Source organism: Homo sapiens, chromosome 3 (assembly GCF_000001405.40).
Source record: "Homo sapiens chromosome 3, GRCh38.p14 Primary Assembly".
NCBI lineage: Eukaryota > Metazoa > Chordata > Mammalia > Primates > Hominidae > Homo > Homo sapiens.
The window spans coordinates 98273139-98290992 of NC_000003.12; the positions used below are offsets into that span (position 1 = coordinate 98273139).

At 37.2% G+C, this 17854-nt stretch overlaps 1 protein-coding gene and 1 long non-coding RNA gene across 4 annotated transcripts in view; one reads left to right on the forward strand and one right to left on the reverse strand.

Moving 5' to 3' along the window:
• The window catches only part of LOC105373999 (uncharacterized), a 51966-nt gene that overhangs the window by 10422 nt on the left and 23690 nt on the right, over nt 1–17854 (reverse strand). The window contains exons 2-4 of one of the 3 annotated variants that reach the window (XR_924259.2): nt 6720–6750; nt 3904–4337; nt 203–523 (exon numbers count right to left, since the gene is read on the reverse strand). This is a non-coding gene — a long non-coding RNA (uncharacterized LOC105373999). Of the gene's footprint in view, nt 1–202; nt 524–3903; nt 4338–6719; nt 6751–17854 lie in introns of those variants that run through there. The other 2 variants (XR_001740814.2, XR_924258.2) reach the window with 2 other exon arrangements.
• Nucleotides 9367–10932, forward strand: OR5H2 (olfactory receptor family 5 subfamily H member 2). The gene has a single exon (NM_001005482.2). The coding sequence runs from the start codon at nt 9765–9767 to the stop codon at nt 10692–10694; it is 930 nt and encodes a 309-aa protein (NP_001005482.2). The 5' UTR covers nt 9367–9764; the 3' UTR covers nt 10695–10932.

The window sequence follows — 17854 nt, forward strand, 5'->3', positions numbered from 1 at the left end:
TTTGTTGTTCTAAGAGTTTAAAGAATTCTTAGTTTATATAAGTATATATTATTCCATAAGCTAGTTAAATAGAGTTCAAATACAATTTAATTTTGGCAGTATCATCTAGAGTTAGAAAAGTGTCATGCATACAAACATACATAGACATACATAAATATACAGAAAGAAGCGAATCTTATAGTGTTTATCCTAAAACTGTAGCCATGTGTCAGGTATAATAATGCTGAACTCACTAGTTTATAGAAGAATACCTAGATTTGAATTGTGTTTCTGGTAGTTGGAACAAGTTAAGATGTCTTGCCCAGTTGACTAAAGCTTTTTACTAATATTTGTGGAAAATACTTTTACTATTTTTCACTTGCCCAATTTACAAATACCTTTTTTTTTCTTTCAAACGTGTCATCTTCTTGAAATTTGCATATAGATTTTTAACCTGTTTACCCTCATGCCCTAGCACAGACAGGCTAGAAAATTTAATATTACAAAGGCACAATGCTTAGAATTCAGGCTTAGGTACAGTCATCTGTGAAAACAAAAAAATAAAAAATGTGTTGGTAAAAGCCCAGTTAAGACAAAATAACCAAGACAAACACCTTAAAAAGGTCAGGTTTGTGGTGTAGATTGAATCAATTCTTTCTCCATTATTTAGTGATTTAGTCCTCCATCTCTTTCTGGACCAGAAAGGGAGACATCCTAAAAATGGAAATTCCTTTAAATTTCTCTTCTAATGCTACCTTAAAATAACCAGCTTGAAATAGTCTTTATGCCAGAGAGGCAAAATATTTTGGGTATTAATTTGGCCAGCTTCCCAATCCAGCTTTGTTTAGTAATTAGATCAATGAATTCAGCATGGATCCCATTAATAAATAGGACAAGTATTTTCTGTGCCTGCACTCAACATGGATTGACCAGAATGTTTTACAAATAGTATTTCTAATCTTTCCTTAGAGTCAAAGACTAGTTCATCCTTGTTTCTTTACAAGATTGCATGACAGACCAGTGAGTTGTTGAAGAAATAATTTGAGGGTGGATTCTAAGAGGTTATTTGTTATTTTCCCAGCACTTTTTGTCTTTCTCTGGAAGACTGAGGGGTAGATCTTTGCTACCTATCTTAGGTACCACACATTTTGCTTCTGCTACCAGCTTCACCAGCTTCCAGTATCATTTGAATGAATTGGTGAAGATCACAGAGTCCTGGATCATGTGATCCAAGAAGAATTCAAAATTTCACAGAAAATTTCTGGGGCTTTTGTTTGGAACAGGTGATAGCAGCAGGAGGCAGACAAATTCATAGGCAGACAGGGGAAGGTCCCTGATGAAACCCCACCTTCAAACCAAAGACAGATTAAAGCCTGAAATCCAAGCTACAAGTCTCAGATAAATCCATGGACTGGATTGAGAACCTCTCTTCCCATTTGGTGCACTTTCCTCTGATTAATCCTCACCCTTCACCTATTTTACAAATAACTACCCTTCCCTAATTGGTTTTTTACACTGTCATGCCCACCTTTGAGTGGTGACTTTAGCCTATTTTGCATACTCACAAACCAATCAGCATGCACTCCCCCATTCTGAGCCCATAAAAGAACCTGATTCAGCTACACTTAGGGACTACCCACCTATGGGCGAGAGAAGAGAGACCCTCTGACTTCAGGTAAGGGGGTACCCAACTCAGGTCCACCTCTCCACTAAGAGCTGTTTGTCACTCAATAAAACTCTTCACCTTGTGCACCCATCAGCTGTCAGCATAACCTCATTCTTCTTGGATATGAGACAAGAACTAGGGACTTGCTGAATGCAGGTATGAAAAAGCCTGTAAGATTATAGTCCTCTGCTCCTGCCAGCACTCAGTGGCTGCCCCTTGCAATGGGAAGCAGAGGCAGGGCCGGACCCAGCCCCAGGGCTGCAGGCCATAGCAGGGCAATGAAACTGACAGAGCTGTTAACATGCCCCATTTGTTGGGCTGTGGATGGCAAGACTAAAAGAGTTATTAGCATGTTGTAACACCCACTCTGGGGCTTCAGGGAATCTCTGTTCAGGTGCCATCACATTCCTCTTGTCCAGATGCTGGCTCCTAAGGTGGACACAGGTCACAGCACACCTGGCCCAGCTGCAGGCTAAGCACGGATTCTGCAGCGAGTGTAGGATCCAGGCAGGAGGGCAAGGCAAGCACAGCCCACCAGGCTGAGTGGGTGGGGTGTCTCCTGCAGCAAGCCCAGGACCCAAGCAAGGCCCAGGCATGGGTGTCACTGGCTGCAGAGGTCTCTGGCTGGTGAAGTGACAGCAAAAACAATCCTGCATCACAGGGACATTTTTCACCATTGCTCTGAGCCAGATTTTGTCCAACCTGTAAATGTAGTTAAAGAAGGCAGGCCTGGGACGGGCACAGTGGCTCACACCTGTAATCCCAGCACTTTGGGAGGCCAAGGCGAGCAGATGACCTGAGGTCAGGAGTTCAAGACCAGCCTGGCCAACATGGAGAAACTCTGCCTCTACTAAAAATACAAAAAAATTAGCCAGGTGTGGTGACGCATGCCTGTAATCCCAGCTACTCAGGAAGCTGAAGCAGGAGAATTGCTTGAATCCGGGAGGTGGAGGTTGCAGTGAGCTGAGGTTGCACCACTGGACTCCAGGCTGTGTAAGAGAGCGAGACTCTGTCTCAAAAAAAAAAAAAAAAAAAAAAAAAAAGGCAAGCAGACCTGGTTAATCGGAGAAACTGACTTTATAGGGCATTTGTCTAGTTTCTTCTTATTATTAGGAGTGAAAACATAACAAAGCAAATGTTTAGTAGATTCAGGATTATGAGGTAAGGGATAATCCCCTGCAATATAGATGAAACTATCTTTGCAAAAATTATGACAATGAGAAAAATCTCACATAGGAAAATTATGATAGTGAATCTGACATAAGAAAATGAGACACTGCATCTAACCTTCAAACTACCCTTCTTCATTCCTGCATGTAGGCTGAACTAACTTTGGTATCAATTTAGTTTAAATTGAACTAGTTTATAGTTTCAACACAGATGATAACCGCCCCTCACAAAAACCCCCTCCTTCCTTGGGAACCAAACCCCCTTTGTAAAACTAACCAATTAGCCAACATAAGGTACAGGGAATTAGGCTAAGGCGGACATCTAGGCCTGCATGAGTTTGGAGCACAGGCATATAACTCCACTTGTTGTATAATCTGTTTGTATAAGCTCATACTTGGATTGGAGCCACTATTGTTTGAAAAGGGTATAACTGCCCTGCTGACACTGCACAGACTCAGTTTGCATGCACCTGAAGAGAGAGTAACACTACTGACCCCTGTAAGGGAGAGCCAGTTGCCTTGAAGGTTGGCAGGAGGGAGCTAGGAACCAGCTTGTGCCCAGAGTGAAAGAGTTAAGCTGCTCTCCCCATAAAGAGAGAGGCCAGGGAGTGCAGCTTGTAGGCCAGGGAGTGCAGCTGCAGGCACAGGGGCGGTAGGAGCTGCAGAGCTGGAGCAGACAGCTGACATAAAGACAGACAGCTGACATAAAGACAGGTAGCTGACATAAAGACAGACAGTGTAAGAGAGCTGCTGACCAGAAAGCTGCTGAATAAAACTACATTTCACCTGCCTACACCACCCCGCCGAGTGTCTTTCAGCTATCTGCCACCCGCCCACTTCCCCGGAACCTCAGCATGGGCTGGAACCTAACCCTGGGCATGACATTTAGCATAGTCGTGGACCTAACCACCACAAAGTTAGAAATTATGGCACTAGAGTCTTGCAGCCAGAGGCTACAAGGTTCCTAACCTCCCCAATTGCTCCTATGACAACATTTTTATTATAAAACATACCTACAGCATGAACTGGGTAGCGATAAATTGCAAGATTGCTTTGTCTAGTAAAATTTATCATCAGATATCAGCTCACCTGGAAGCTAAGCTGTTATGTCCGGAATTTAAGCTGTAGTTCGCATGAGGAGGACAACTTCACTTGGAGTTGGCTTCTGAAGGAAATCTTGATCTTTGGTCTTATTAAAATCATGTTTTAACTAGCTCAGGTAAGACCATGCTAATCAAAGCATTCAGAGCATCCAATTTTATATATAAACTGAAGTTTGCATAAAATGTCAGAAGCATCACTTATGGAAAATAGTGGCATCAAGTGTAATTTCAATTGTAAAAATCAGAACTAGCTACAGTGACTTAAAGTTTACCATTCTGAGCTTTGTAATACCCTGTAGGATAATCTGGATTTCTCATACACATCTAAATCCACAACGCCCAGTTGAAGATCTTCACTTTACCCTATAGGGAATCCTAAGGTGTTCTTAGCGGAATTTCAGTTCTCCACACCATCCTCTCCTGGCAAAAATAAAGAGATACAATTGGTGAACCCTTGTAATGAAAGCAAATTTATGTTAGCAACATTTTCCTAAGATTGAAAATGAAGCCTCCATAATGAATCAGTGTGCAAAGAATTCCTACCTGTGTTATTGTCATTTCTGTTCTATCATGCATTTTTCTATGCTTTAGAAAGCCTAACACTTTTGAAGGATCTCCGTAATTTCTTATAATATTGGTAAGAGAGAAATTATTTTTCATATTATTATTTTTAATGAAAGTCTAAAATGCTATTTAATTTATAATAATTTTGTATTTGATTTACAGCATACCAAAATTGCCAGGGGCAAATGGAACAAAAGAAGTGAATAATCTTCCTATTTTATTATCTAGATAACCAAAATAACTAAAATCTATGTCTAAAATCTTATCTAAAATCTAGATAAGCAAAATAACTATAAAATAAAATTTTGAACCCTTATATATTATCTTTTAAACCCAACTCTAATGACTATGTAAGGTAAATTCTGGATAACTAGAACATTAAATGCTTTAAAACTGGGTTTAAAGCTTTAATTCATTTCTATGGTTATATAAGAAATCTTTCTGATGATTCTGACATAAAGGTTTATTCTGTGTAGTCAACATTTCTGATTAAAACTTTTAAGATCTGTTAATTAAATATTAACTCCTCTATATCATCACCACTTATGGCAGTAATTTCATTGATCATATTAAATATAGGCATATAAATAAATATATAAAATTAGTACAAAGAAATAAATATATTTTTATTGAGTATTTTATTTATAAATAATACTAGTAATTCACATATATACATCTCAGAAAATATACAGCAAATATACTTCCCCTACCTTTTTTGACATTTATAGTTTTAAAAAGTACCTGCATAAATTGACTTTGAGAATGTGTGATTATATTGTTAATTGGGTTTGAATGGAATAAACCAATTATATAAAAATTTACATAAAAAGCGGAATTATTGCCCTTTGTTCTTTATATAGTCTGCCTCAGGATCCCGTCTTTGGTTTATTTAATTCTGCTAAAAAACAAGCAATCAAACAAAATGCTGATGGAGAATAAAGTGCTCTCACTATCAGCAAGATTTCTTGAGAAATTTCATTTTAAGCTCCATAATAATAAAGATATAGCAACATTTGAATATGGAATAAACTTTCAGACAGTGCCAATATGGTCATGAACAGTGGAACATTTATGGGTAAAATTTTAAGTAAAAGTCTCTTCATCATACACAAATTCCAAAGGGAAACAAACTGAATTTTTTAAAAAAGAAAGTGAAAATACTCTCAGAGCTCTCTGTCATATTCATGAACATCAGAGTTAATGCACACATTCAACCCAAGCTTCTGAGCTTTTCCCTTTATTTGCCTCTATGTTTCTCTCAGACTTCCTCTCTATCTCTTTTTTGGCTTGTCTTTTTTGCACTTACCCCTATATGGCATAATTATTCTCAGCCTATTTTTCTTCCTCCTTCTTATTTTCACCCACACAAATTTCCCTTTCCACTTTTTCTGTCCCTTTTCTCCTCTAAATATCTTGCTGTCCTCTGTCTTGTCTATATTTTCTTTTGAGAACTTTTCTTAAATATTCTACAGAAGAAAAAATATTAAACTAGTGTATGAGCAGCAGACAAATGCTAACCATTCTCCACATTTCATAGAGTACTCTATTTCATCACCTCACTGTTTTGCCATTTGTTTCCCATTCACGTCTTATTTGCTGAACTTTATTCCATTATATAAGGGAAACTGCTCTCACTAAAGCCACTAAAAAATCATGTACATTCTCAGCACAGTGATTTTCCTTCACTTCTTGTCCTACTAAACCATTTATTTTGGCATTTGGCCCTGTACTTCACTTTGTCATTCTTTGTATCTTTCCTTTCTTTATGTCCCCAACACTCAATTCTCTAGTTTCCCTCCTGCTTCTTCCCTTGATCCTTCTGTTCAATATCCTTTTCTGTTCTCTCCCTCATCTCTCTTTTGAACATCCAGGTTTTGGGGGGCTGCAACAGGAAATAAGTTATTGAATGGATATTGAGTTTAACATATAAATGCTAGGAAAGTTGGAGAAATTCACTGGAAAACAATGGCAGGAACAGAAGGAAGCAAGGCAGCCAGTCAACAGCCAAAATCCTGTTCCAACAGTAGCTTCATGAGTGTGGTTTTTTCTGCTGCTGAACTGCCAATGACACAGCTTATATTTTCTGTACCATTGTTTTTTAAATGCAGGGTGCATGTTCTGAGATCTTGAAATTTTTGCTTCAACTGCCTTTGTACTAATTTTTTTTTATTGTCCATGCACATTTGCCTCCATTTCTCTATATCCAAATCTAGGTTGAGTGGGTTTGATTACACATACCAAAGTCAAATCCTTTGTCTGCCACTAAGATCTGTGTGGGAGAGAAAAAAGTATCAGATGTTGACCATCCAATAAATGACATCCATTCCCTATATTACCTTTCAATATAACTCCTCAAGCTGTTTTTCTTTTTTTTAAAAAAAGTCAACTTTTATTTTAGATATAGAGAGAATATATGCAGGCTTGTTACATGGGTATATTGCATGCAGTTAGTGAGCAGAGTACTCAATAGTTTTTCCACCCATTCTCCCCTCCGTCTCCCATGTACTAGTCCAAAGTGTCTATTGTTCTCATGTTTATGTCCATGTGTGTTCAATGTTTAGCCCCACTTGTAAATAAGAACGTGTGTCATTTGGTTTTCTGCTCCTGTGTCGGTTTGCTTTGGATTATGGCCTCCAACTGCATCCATGCTGCTGCAAAGTACATGATCTCATTCTTTGTTATGGCTGAGTAGTATTCCATCTTGTATATGTACCACATTTTAAAAATCCAATCCACCCCTGCTGGACACCTAGATTGATTCCATGTGTTTACCATTGTGAATAGTGTAGCAATGAACATAGGAGTGCATGTGACTTTAACAACAAAGACAGCATGGTATTGTTACAAAAACAGACACATAGACCAATGGAACAGAGTAGCAAACTCAGAAATTAAGCCACACGCTTGGAATAATCTGATCTTCAACAAGGCTGACAAAAAACAAGCAACAGAGAAAGGATACCCTATTCAGTAAACGGTGCTGTCATGGCGGCTAGCCATATGTGGAAGAATGAAACTGAATCCTTTCCTTTCATCATACACAAAAATTTATTCAAGATGGATTAAATATTTAAATGTAAGACTTCAAAATGTAAAAATCCTAGACGAAAACCTAGGAAGTATTCTTCTCAACATCAGCCTTAGCAAAGAATTTTCGGCTAAGTCCTCAGAAGCAATTGCAATGAAAACAAAAATTGACAAGTGTGACCTAATTAAGGTAAAGAACTTCTGCACAGCAAAAGAAATCATCAATAGAGTACACAGACAACCTACAGAATGACAGAAAATATTTGCAAACTATGCATCCAATAAAGGTCTAATATCAGAATCTATAAGGAACTTAAACAAATCAGCAAGCAAAAAAATGTAACCCTATTAACAAATAAGCAAAGGACATGAACAGATCCTTCTCCAAAGAAGACATACAGGCAGTCAACACACATAAAAAAGAAATGCTCATCATTAATCATCAGAGGAATGCAAATCAAAATCACAATGAGATACCATTTCACACCAGTCATAATGGCTATTATTAAAAAACAAAACATGCTGATGAGGCTGTGGAGAAAAGGAAAGGCTTATACACTGTTGGTGGAAATACTTTAGTTCAGCCACTGTGGAAAGCAGCCTGGAGATTTCTCAACAATTTGAAACAAAGCTACCATTTGACCCAACAATCCCATTACTGGGTATATACCCAAAGGAAATTAGGTCATTATACTATCAAGTATTTTTGGTGCTATGCTTTTCTTTTCTTAATGTACTCTCCAATAGGTAAGACATCCATTACTATGCCTTCAACTACTCCAGTGACTCCCAAGTTATTTCTATCACTCTAGTAGAATTGTATTACTAATACCAAACATCTCACCTACATATTCAAGGCATGCTCACACTGCAAACTTGTCAATGCCCCTGAGTTCTCAGTCTCTATTTTGAATGACAATCTACCTACTCACAAAGTGACTCCTTTTTCCTTCACTGAATACTACTTTTCTATCAAATATGTGACTAAGTCCTAGTGACACTACTTTCTGAATGCTTTAGAATCTATTTCTTCATCCTCATTATTTGCAAGATTATAATACACATGGACTAGGCACTTGCAAACTTAAAATTCAAAGCCCCCCATCAACAGAACGAACCCCCTCTTGGCCAAAAGTTCTCCAGAAAAACTGTAAAAACTTAGTTCTCAGCCATGACAGGGTGGGAAGTCAGATGTGCCTTGTTATACTTCCTCTCTTTTGCAATTTAGACATGACAACTGACCGGTATTAATGTTAAGATAGAGATTATAAGACTGACAGAACATATTCTTTGTGACAATAAGATTCCAAATTATAAACAGAACCTAAGGCCACACCAGGCAAGGTTTAAGTCAGGCACCTCTACACTTAAAGAATAAACTGTGTTCTAACTGCCACAAGGTTTTTCTTTTTCTCTAGTAGCTAAACAGGCACTGGCCTCAAGACAAGCAGGATTAAAACAATTTGCAGCTGCACCAGATGCTCAGTAACTGAACCCCTGCTACCAGACATAACTACAGCTTTGATTGGACAAGAGACTGATGTCAGTAACTTTCTCCAGATAAGAGGAAAACTGACCACGGACTGGTTCTGGCTGGTTTACAGAGACAGTGCATTTATGGGCCTTCATGTCCTGAGAAGACCTTTTGATGTATAGGGCCTAACTGTAACAAATTTAAATGTTAAGTCTCCACTCCAATGTGAACATGGGTTGTATGTTACATACATGTTCAATATGCATGTGCCAAGGCTACCTTCATGAATACTCATAGATCCTCCCGTAACCTGTTGAATATGTATATTTAGCCAACTTATTTAGCCTAAAGCTCCTACCTCAAGCCCTCCTCCTTTGATGTGCCTGTTTCTGGTCTTGGCCAGAGGCATGCTTCCCAGCACACTTGATGGCCACCTTGCAGGCTGTAACCCCTTATAAGAAATAAGTCTTCTCTCCTTTTCTAAATTTACAAATAGTGATTTTCTTAAGTTAACACACATTACATGCATTTCTATCATCTGCATTTTAAAAGTAGATTATTTGATCACATTTTTAGAATTAAAATAATTGCATTTATTTTGATTTCTTATATTTCCCAAAACAGTTTCCATCTATTACAGGAATATGAAAGAAAATTAAAAGGGTATTGTAATAAGAGTATGTTTTTCTATCAACTTCCCTCCCCCAGTATTTGCTGTATAAGTCTTAGTGAATGCTCTTTTACATTTACTGCATTTCATTTCAGGGATGTCGAATGAGGACATGGAACAGGATAATACAACATTGCTGACAGAGTTTGTTCTCACAGGACTTACATATCAGCCAGAGTGGAAAATGCCCCTGTTCTTGGTGTTCTTGGTGATCTATCTCATCACTATTGTGTGGAACCTTGGTCTGATTGCTCTTATCTGGAATGACCCACAACTTCACATCCCCATGTACTTTTTTCTTGGGAGTTTAGCCTTTGTTGATGCTTGGATATCTTCCACAGTAACTCCCAAAATGTTGGTTAATTTCTTGGCCAAAAACAGGATGATATCTCTGTCTGAATGCATGATTCAATTTTTTTCCTTTGCATTTGGTGGAACTACAGAATGTTTTCTCTTGGCAACAATGGCATATGATCGCTATGTAGCCATATGCAAACCTTTACTATATCCAGTGATTATGAACAATTCACTATGCATACGGCTGTTAGCCTTCTCATTTTTAGGTGGCTTCCTCCATGCCTTAATTCATGAAGTCCTTATATTCAGATTAACCTTCTGCAATTCTAACATAATACATCATTTTTACTGTGATATTATACCACTGTTTATGATTTCCTGTACTGACCCTTCTATTAATTTTCTAATGGTTTTTATTTTGTCTGGCTCAATTCAGGTATTCACCATTGTGACAGTTCTTAATTCTTACACATTTGCTCTTTTCACAATCCTAAAAAAGAAGTCTGTTAGAGGCGTAAGGAAAGCCTTTTCCACCTGTGGAGCCCATCTCTTATCTGTCTCTTTATATTATGGCCCACTTATCTTCATGTATTTGCGCCCTGCATCTCCACAAGCAGATGACCAAGATATGATAGACTCTGTCTTTTATACAATCATAATTCCTTTGCTAAATCCCATTATCTACAGTCTGAGAAATAAACAAGTAATAGATTCATTCACAAAAATGGTAAAAAGAAATGTTTAGATTTCATAGTGATATCTCTCATTTTCAGTAAAAAGAATTTTGCAGTTAGATAAGGTGTTTTGCTAAGTGTTCAAAGTTATTGTAAATATAATTGTTTTAGCATTTTAATGACTTAGGGTTTTATACCTAATAAACTCCTTAAAATATTTATATATGTTATTCAAAAGCATCCAAGGAATTTTAACCTGGTGTTCATGTTATATTAGATAATTAAAGCAGAAAACAAATGAAAACATTTATAGGTTAAATACTCTTCATGTGGCTTTATAAATGCCTTAAGTGTTAAAGCACTGTAGTTCCTCTCAAAAGTATTTGAGTAGGAAATATAATACAGCTGACAGAATTGTATAGTGTGGAAACATCACATTTAACTGGATTGTGGTGGCAGATTTGTGTTTGGTTGAGCCGATAAAGATCTCAGGAATCAGCTGTCCCTCAAAAGGTCTTTTACTCTAGATTATGGAATTGGCAAACTTCACTTCTTATAAGAATTTAACTCATATATCACTTGAAGCAATAAATAGAATGGGAAATGCAATCATAAAATGAGAAGTGAGTTAAAACCGTCAATGCAAGGCCAAACTCTAAGAGGGTACTTTTATCTCTATTCCTTTCTATGAGTAATAAGAAAAGGCAACTTGCCTCTCTTTATTGACGATGCCTTCAGAGGCCTTTTACAGTTGTATTTGTATGACACTGGAAAACATGAAAAGATTCATATTGCTAACGAATTCAGAAAGCTAATAGATAATTTAAAAATTAAGTTAGCATGGATGTAGAGAAGAAAAATGCCAGAATAGAAAGTAAATGGTATCAATTTTTCTAGCATTAAAAAAATGAAAACAATAAGAAAAGGAAATCAGTAATATTTCCATAATTATTAGCATTTGTTATGGATAAAAAGTGGCCTTAAATGCATATTGCCAAAGATCAAATAATGCTAAAATGATATGATCTCATCGTGTCCAGTGGGTGGCTGCGAAAGGTGTGAAAATAAGCAAGAGTATGGATGTTTTGTGACTCAAAAGTCCTTACATTTTAGCTTTCCTCACACTACATCCTCTTGCTGTATTATGAGTAATCCATCTTCAGGTCACCCCTACTCTTCCTCTTTCAACACTAAAATTTCATCTATATTCCTATGTATATCATTTCATCACATTCCCATTTATATCACCCAGGTCCCCAACCTGAAACAACTCACCTGTCTGTTTTGCAAGACTCTAGTTAGTATCTCCCTTATCCTTTTATAGTCTCTTATTTCCTAAACAATGCTGCCATATAATTTGTGCATTTAAGTTTAATTAATTCATGTCCTACTTAATTACCTTTTAATGGATTGTCATTGCTAGCAGATTATATGCATATGTGGTACATATATCTATATATGAATATATACATATGGATATGTTTGTTTATATGTCTGTACAGATTGTATAATATGCATATATATGCCTCAGCTAGTATTTATTCACCCTGAATTATTTGAGATCTTTTGCAAAAAAACTTCTTGGTTTAACTCTGGAGACTCTTCCTCCACAATTATCTTGATGGAACCTGTGTTGCAGCCAAAGTGAGTTACCAGGAGACTTCTGTACACTCCTTACTCTGTCAGGTGCATGTTTTCGTTCATATAGCTCTCTCCACAGAGAATCCCTACTACTGCAACTCACCTCTAAGTCACTTGCAATTGAAATGATAACTTTCTTCAAGGTGTGTATGAAATGTTACCATTTTATAAAGCTTTCATCCACAAAGCTTTTTCTGCCTACCTGGAAGTGGATGGGGGTGTTCACTCATTTAAAACAATTAGCACTTTATTTATGCTTCTTTTAAAAAAAATTCAACTTTTAAGTTCAGGGATGCAGGATGTGCAGGTTTGTTACATAGGTAAATGTGTGCCATGGTGGTTTGCTGTACAGATCATCCTATCACCCAGGTATTAAGCCCAGCATCCGTCAGCTATTCTTTCTGACCCCCTCTCTCCTCCCACCAACCACCCTTCAACAGGTCCCAGTGTGTGTTGTTCCTTGCCATATGTCCATGTATTCTCATGATTCAGCTTCCACTTATAAGTGAGGACATGCAATATTTGATTTTCTGGTCCTGTGCTAGTTTGCTAAGAATAATAGCCTCCAGCTCCATCCATGTCCCTGCAAATGACAAGATTCCATTCCTTTTTATGTTTATATAGCATTCCATGATAAATATATACCATATTTTCTTTATCCAGTCTATAATTGATGAGCATTTAGGTTGATCCCATGTCTTTGCTGCTGTAAATAATGTGGCAGTGAACATATGTGTGCATGTGTCTTTATAATAAAAGGATTTACATTCCTTTGGGTATATACACAGTAATGGGATTGCTGGGTCAAATGGTATCTCTACCTCTACGTCTCTAAGAAATTGTCACAGTCTTCCACAATAGTTGAACTAATTTACACTCACACCAACAGTGAATAAGCATTCCTTTTTCTCTACAACCTCACCAGCATCTGGTGTTTTTGTTGACTTTTTAATAATAGCCATTCTGACTGATGCAAGATGGTATCTCATCGTGGTTTTGATTTGCATTTCTCTAATGATCAGTGATGTCGAGTTTTTTTTCATATGTTTGTTGGCTGCATGTGTGTCTTCTTTTGAGAAGTGTCTGCTCGTGTCCTTTGTCCACTTTTTAATGGGGTTGTTTGTTTTTTTCTTGTAAATATGTTTAAGTTCCTTATAGATGTTGGATGTTAGACCTTTGTCAGATGCACACATTGCAAAAATTTTCTCACATTCTTAGGTGGTCTCTTTACCCTGTGTTGATAGTTTCTTCTGCTGTGCAGAAGCTCTTTAGTTCAATTAGATCTTATTTGTCAATTTTTGCTTTTTTGCTTTTGGTGTCTTCATCATAAAATCTTTGCCCATGCCTACGTCGTGAAGGGTATTGTCTAGGTATTCTTCTAAGGTTTTTATAGTTTGGAGTTCTACATTTAAGACTTTAATCCATCTTGAGTTGATTTTTGTATATGGTGTAAAGAAGGAGTCCATTTTCAATTTTCTGCATATGGCTAGCTAGTTCTCTTAACACCACTTATTAAATAAAGAATCCTTTCCCTGTTGCTTGTTTTTGTCAGGTTTGTGGAAGACCAGATGGTTGTAGGTGTGTGGTCTTATTTCTAGGTTCTCTATTCTGTTCTATTGGTCTATGTGTGTGTTCTTGTATCAGTACCATGCTGTTTTGGGTAATGTAGCCCAGTAGTATAGTTTGAAGTTGGGTAGCATGATGGCTCCAGCTTTGTTCTTTTTGCTTGGGATGGCCATGGCTATTCAGGCCCTTTTTTAGTTCCATACGATTATTTAAAATAGTTTTTTCTAGTTCTTTGAAGAATCTGATGATAGGAATAGCATTGAATCTATAAATTGGTTTGAGCGGTATGGCCATTTTAATGATATTGGTTCTTCCTATCCATGAGCATGGAATGTCTTTCCATTTGTTTGTGTCATCTCTGATTTCTTTGAGAAGTGTTTTGTAGTTCTCCTTGTAGAGATCTTTCATGTCCCTGGTTAGCTGTATTCTTAGGTATATTATTCTTTTGTGGTAACTTTGAATGGAAGTGTATTCACGACTTGGCTCTGGGCTTGTCTGTTGGTGTATAGGAATGCTAGTGATTGTTGCACATTGATTTTGTATCCTGAGAATTTTTTGAAGTTGCTTATCAGCTTAAGAAGCTTTTGGGCTGAGACAATGAGTTTTCCAGATCTAGGATCTTATCATCTGGAAACAAAGATAGTTTGACTTCCTCTCTTCCTATTTGAATACTTTTATTTCTTTCTCTTGATTGATTGCCCTGGTAAGAACTTTCAATATTTTGTTGAATAGGAGTGGTGAGAGAGGCCAACCTTGTCTTGTGCCAGTTTTCAAGGGGAGTGCTTCCAGGTTTTATCCATTTAGTATGATATTGACTGTGGGTTTGTCATATATGATTCTTATTATTTTAAGGCTTGATTCTTCAATACTTAGCTTATTGAGAGTTTTTAACATGAATGGATGTTGAAATTTATTGAAGGCCTTTTCTACATCTTTTCAGATAATCATGTAGTTTTTGTCTTCAGTTCTGTTTATGTGATAAATCACATTTTTTGATTTGCCTGTGTTTAGCCAACCTTACATCCCAGGGTTGAAGCCTACTTGATAGTGGTGAATAAACTTTTAGATGTGCTGCTGGATTCAGTTTGCCAGTATTTTGTTGAGATTTTTGCATTGATGTTCATCAAGGATATTGGCCTGAAGTTTTCTTTTTTTTGTTGTACCTCTGCCAGGTTTTGGTATCAGGATGATGCTGGCCTCATAGAATGAGTTAGGGAAGAGTCCCTTCTTCTTCTTCTTCTTTTTTTTTTTTTTTGAGATAGAGTCTCGCCCTATCGCCCAGGATACAGTGCAATGGCACAACCTCGGCTCACTGCAACCTCTGCCTCCCGGGTTCAAATGATTCTCCTGCCTCAGCCTCCCAAATAGGTGGGATTACAGGCACCCACCACCACGCCCAGCTAATCTTTGTATTTTTAGTAGATACAGGGTTTCACCATGTTGGCCAAGCTGGTGATGAACTCCTGACCCCATGATCTGCCTGCCTTGGCCTCCCAAAGTGCAGGGATTACGGGTGTGAGCCACCACAGCCCTTCTTCACAATTTTTTTAAAAAATAGTTTCAGTAGGAATGGTACAGCCTTTTTTTTTTTTCCACCCGTCTGGTACAATTAAGCTGTGAATCTGTCTGGTTCTGGGATTTTTTTGGTTGGTAGGGTATTTATTACTGCCTCAATTTTAGAACTCATTATTGGTCTATTCATGGATTTAATTTCTTCCTGGTTCAGTCTTGTAAGTGTGCAGATGCCCAGGAATATATCTATTTCTTCCATATTTTCTAATTTATGTCCAGAGGTGTTCATAATATCCTCTGATGGTTGTTTGTACTTCTGTGGGGTCAGTGGTAATATCCCCCTTATCATTTCTGATTGTGTTTATTTGAGTCTTCCCTCTTTTCTTTATTAGTCTGGCTAATGGTCTATCTATTTTATTAATTTTCTTAAAAAAATCAGCACTTGGTTTGTTAATCTTTTGAAAGGTTTTACATGTCTCTATCTCCTTCAGTTCTGCTCTTGTCTTGGTTATTTCTTGTCTTCTGCCAGCTTTGGGGTTTATTTGCTCTTGGTTCTCTAGTTGTTTTACTTGTGATGTTAGGTTGTTAACTTGAGATCTTTCTAGCTTTTTGATGTAAGCATTTAGTGCTATAAATTTTCCTCTTAAAACTGCTTTAATTTCATCCCAGAGATTCTGATATATTGTATCTTTGTACTCATTAGTTTCAAAGAACTTCTTGATTTCTGCCTTAATTTCATTATTTACTCAAAGGTGATTCAGGAGCAGGTTGTTCAATTTTCTTGTAATTGTATGATTTTGAGTGAATTTCTTAAGCTTGAGTTCTAATTTAATAGTGCTATTATCTGAGAGACTGTTATGATTTCAGTTCTTCTGCATTTGCTGAAGAGTGTTTTGCTTCCAATTGTGTGATCAATTTTAGAAGAAGTGCCATGTGGCAATAAGAAGAATGTATATTCTGTTGTTTTGGGGTGGAGAGTTCTGTAGACATCTATTAGGTCCACTTGATCCAGAGCTGAGTTCAGATCCTGAATATCTTTGTTAAATTTCTGTCAGAATGATCTGTCTAATATTGTCAGTGGGGTGTTAAAGTCTCCCACTATTGTGTAGGAGTCTAAGTGTCCTTGAAGGTTTCTAAGAACTTGCTTTATGAATCTGGGTGCTCCTGTATTGAGTGCATATATATTTAAGATAGTTACCTCTTCTTGTTGAATTGAACCTTTTACTATTACGTATGGCTTTCTTTATCTTTTTTTTATCTTTGTTGGTTTAAAGTTTGTTTTGTCAGAAACTAGGATTGGAACCACTTGTTTGTTCTTTTTCATTTGCTTGGTAAATTTTCCTCCATCCCTTTATTTTAAGACTGTGTATTTTTGCATGTGAGATGGGTCTCCTGAAGACAACATACCAATGGATCTTGGTTCTTTATCTAGCTTGCCATTCTGTGTCTTTTAATTGGGCCATTTACTCCCTTTACATTTAAGGTTAGTATTATTATGTGTGGATTTGATCCTGTCATCATGATGCTAGCTTGGTGTTTTACAGGCTTGTTTATATGGTTGCTTCATAGTGTCGCTGCTCTGTGTACTTCAGTGTGTTTTTTGTAGTGGCTGGTGACAGCTTTTTCTTTCCATATTTAGTGCTTCCTTCAGGAGCTCTTGTAAGGCAGGCCTGGTGGAAATGAATTCCTTCAGCATTTTCTTCTTTGAAAAGGATCTTATTTCTTCTTCACTGATTAAGCTTAGTTTGGCTGGATATGAAATTGTGGGTTGGAATTTCTTTTCCTTAAGAATGTTGAATATTGACCCATATCTCTTCTGCCTTGTAGGGTTTCCACTGAGAGATCCACTGTTAGTCTGATGGGCTTTCCTTTTTAGGTGACCTAACCTTTCTTTCTGTCTGCCTTTAACACTTTTTCTTTCATTTTGACTTTGGAGAATCTGATGATTATGTGTCTTAGGGATTATTTTCTCATGTAGTATCTTACCAGGGTTCTCTGCATTTCCTGAATTTGAATGTTGACCTGTCTAGCCAGGTTGGGGAAGTTTTTCTGGATGATATGCTGAAATATGTTTTCTGAGTTGGTTCCATTCTCCATGTCTCTTTTGAGTACCTCAATCAGGTGTAGATTCAGTCCCTTACATAATCCCATCCCGTAATTCTTTGAGGTTTTGTTTATTCCTTTTCATTCTTTTTTCTCTATTCCTGTCTGCCTGTTTTATTTCAGAAAGATAGTCTTCGAGCTCTGAGATTTTTTTCTCCACTTGGTCTATTCTGCTATCGATACTTGTGATTGCATTGTGAAGTTCTTGTAGTGTGTTTTTCAGCTGTATCAGGTCAGTTATATTTCTCTTTGTACTGGCTATTTTGCCTGTCACCACCTGCATCATTTTATCATGATTCTTAGCTTTCTTGCATTGGGCTATAATGTGCTCCTTTAGCTCAGGGAAGTTCATTTTCATCTACATTCTGAAGTCTTCATCTGTCATTTCCATCATCTCAGCTTCAGCCCC

Coding starts and splice junctions, on each gene's coding strand:
- OR5H2 (NM_001005482.2), top strand. CDS start 9,765: ATGGAACAGGATAATACAACATTGCTGACAGAGTTTGTTCTCACAGGA.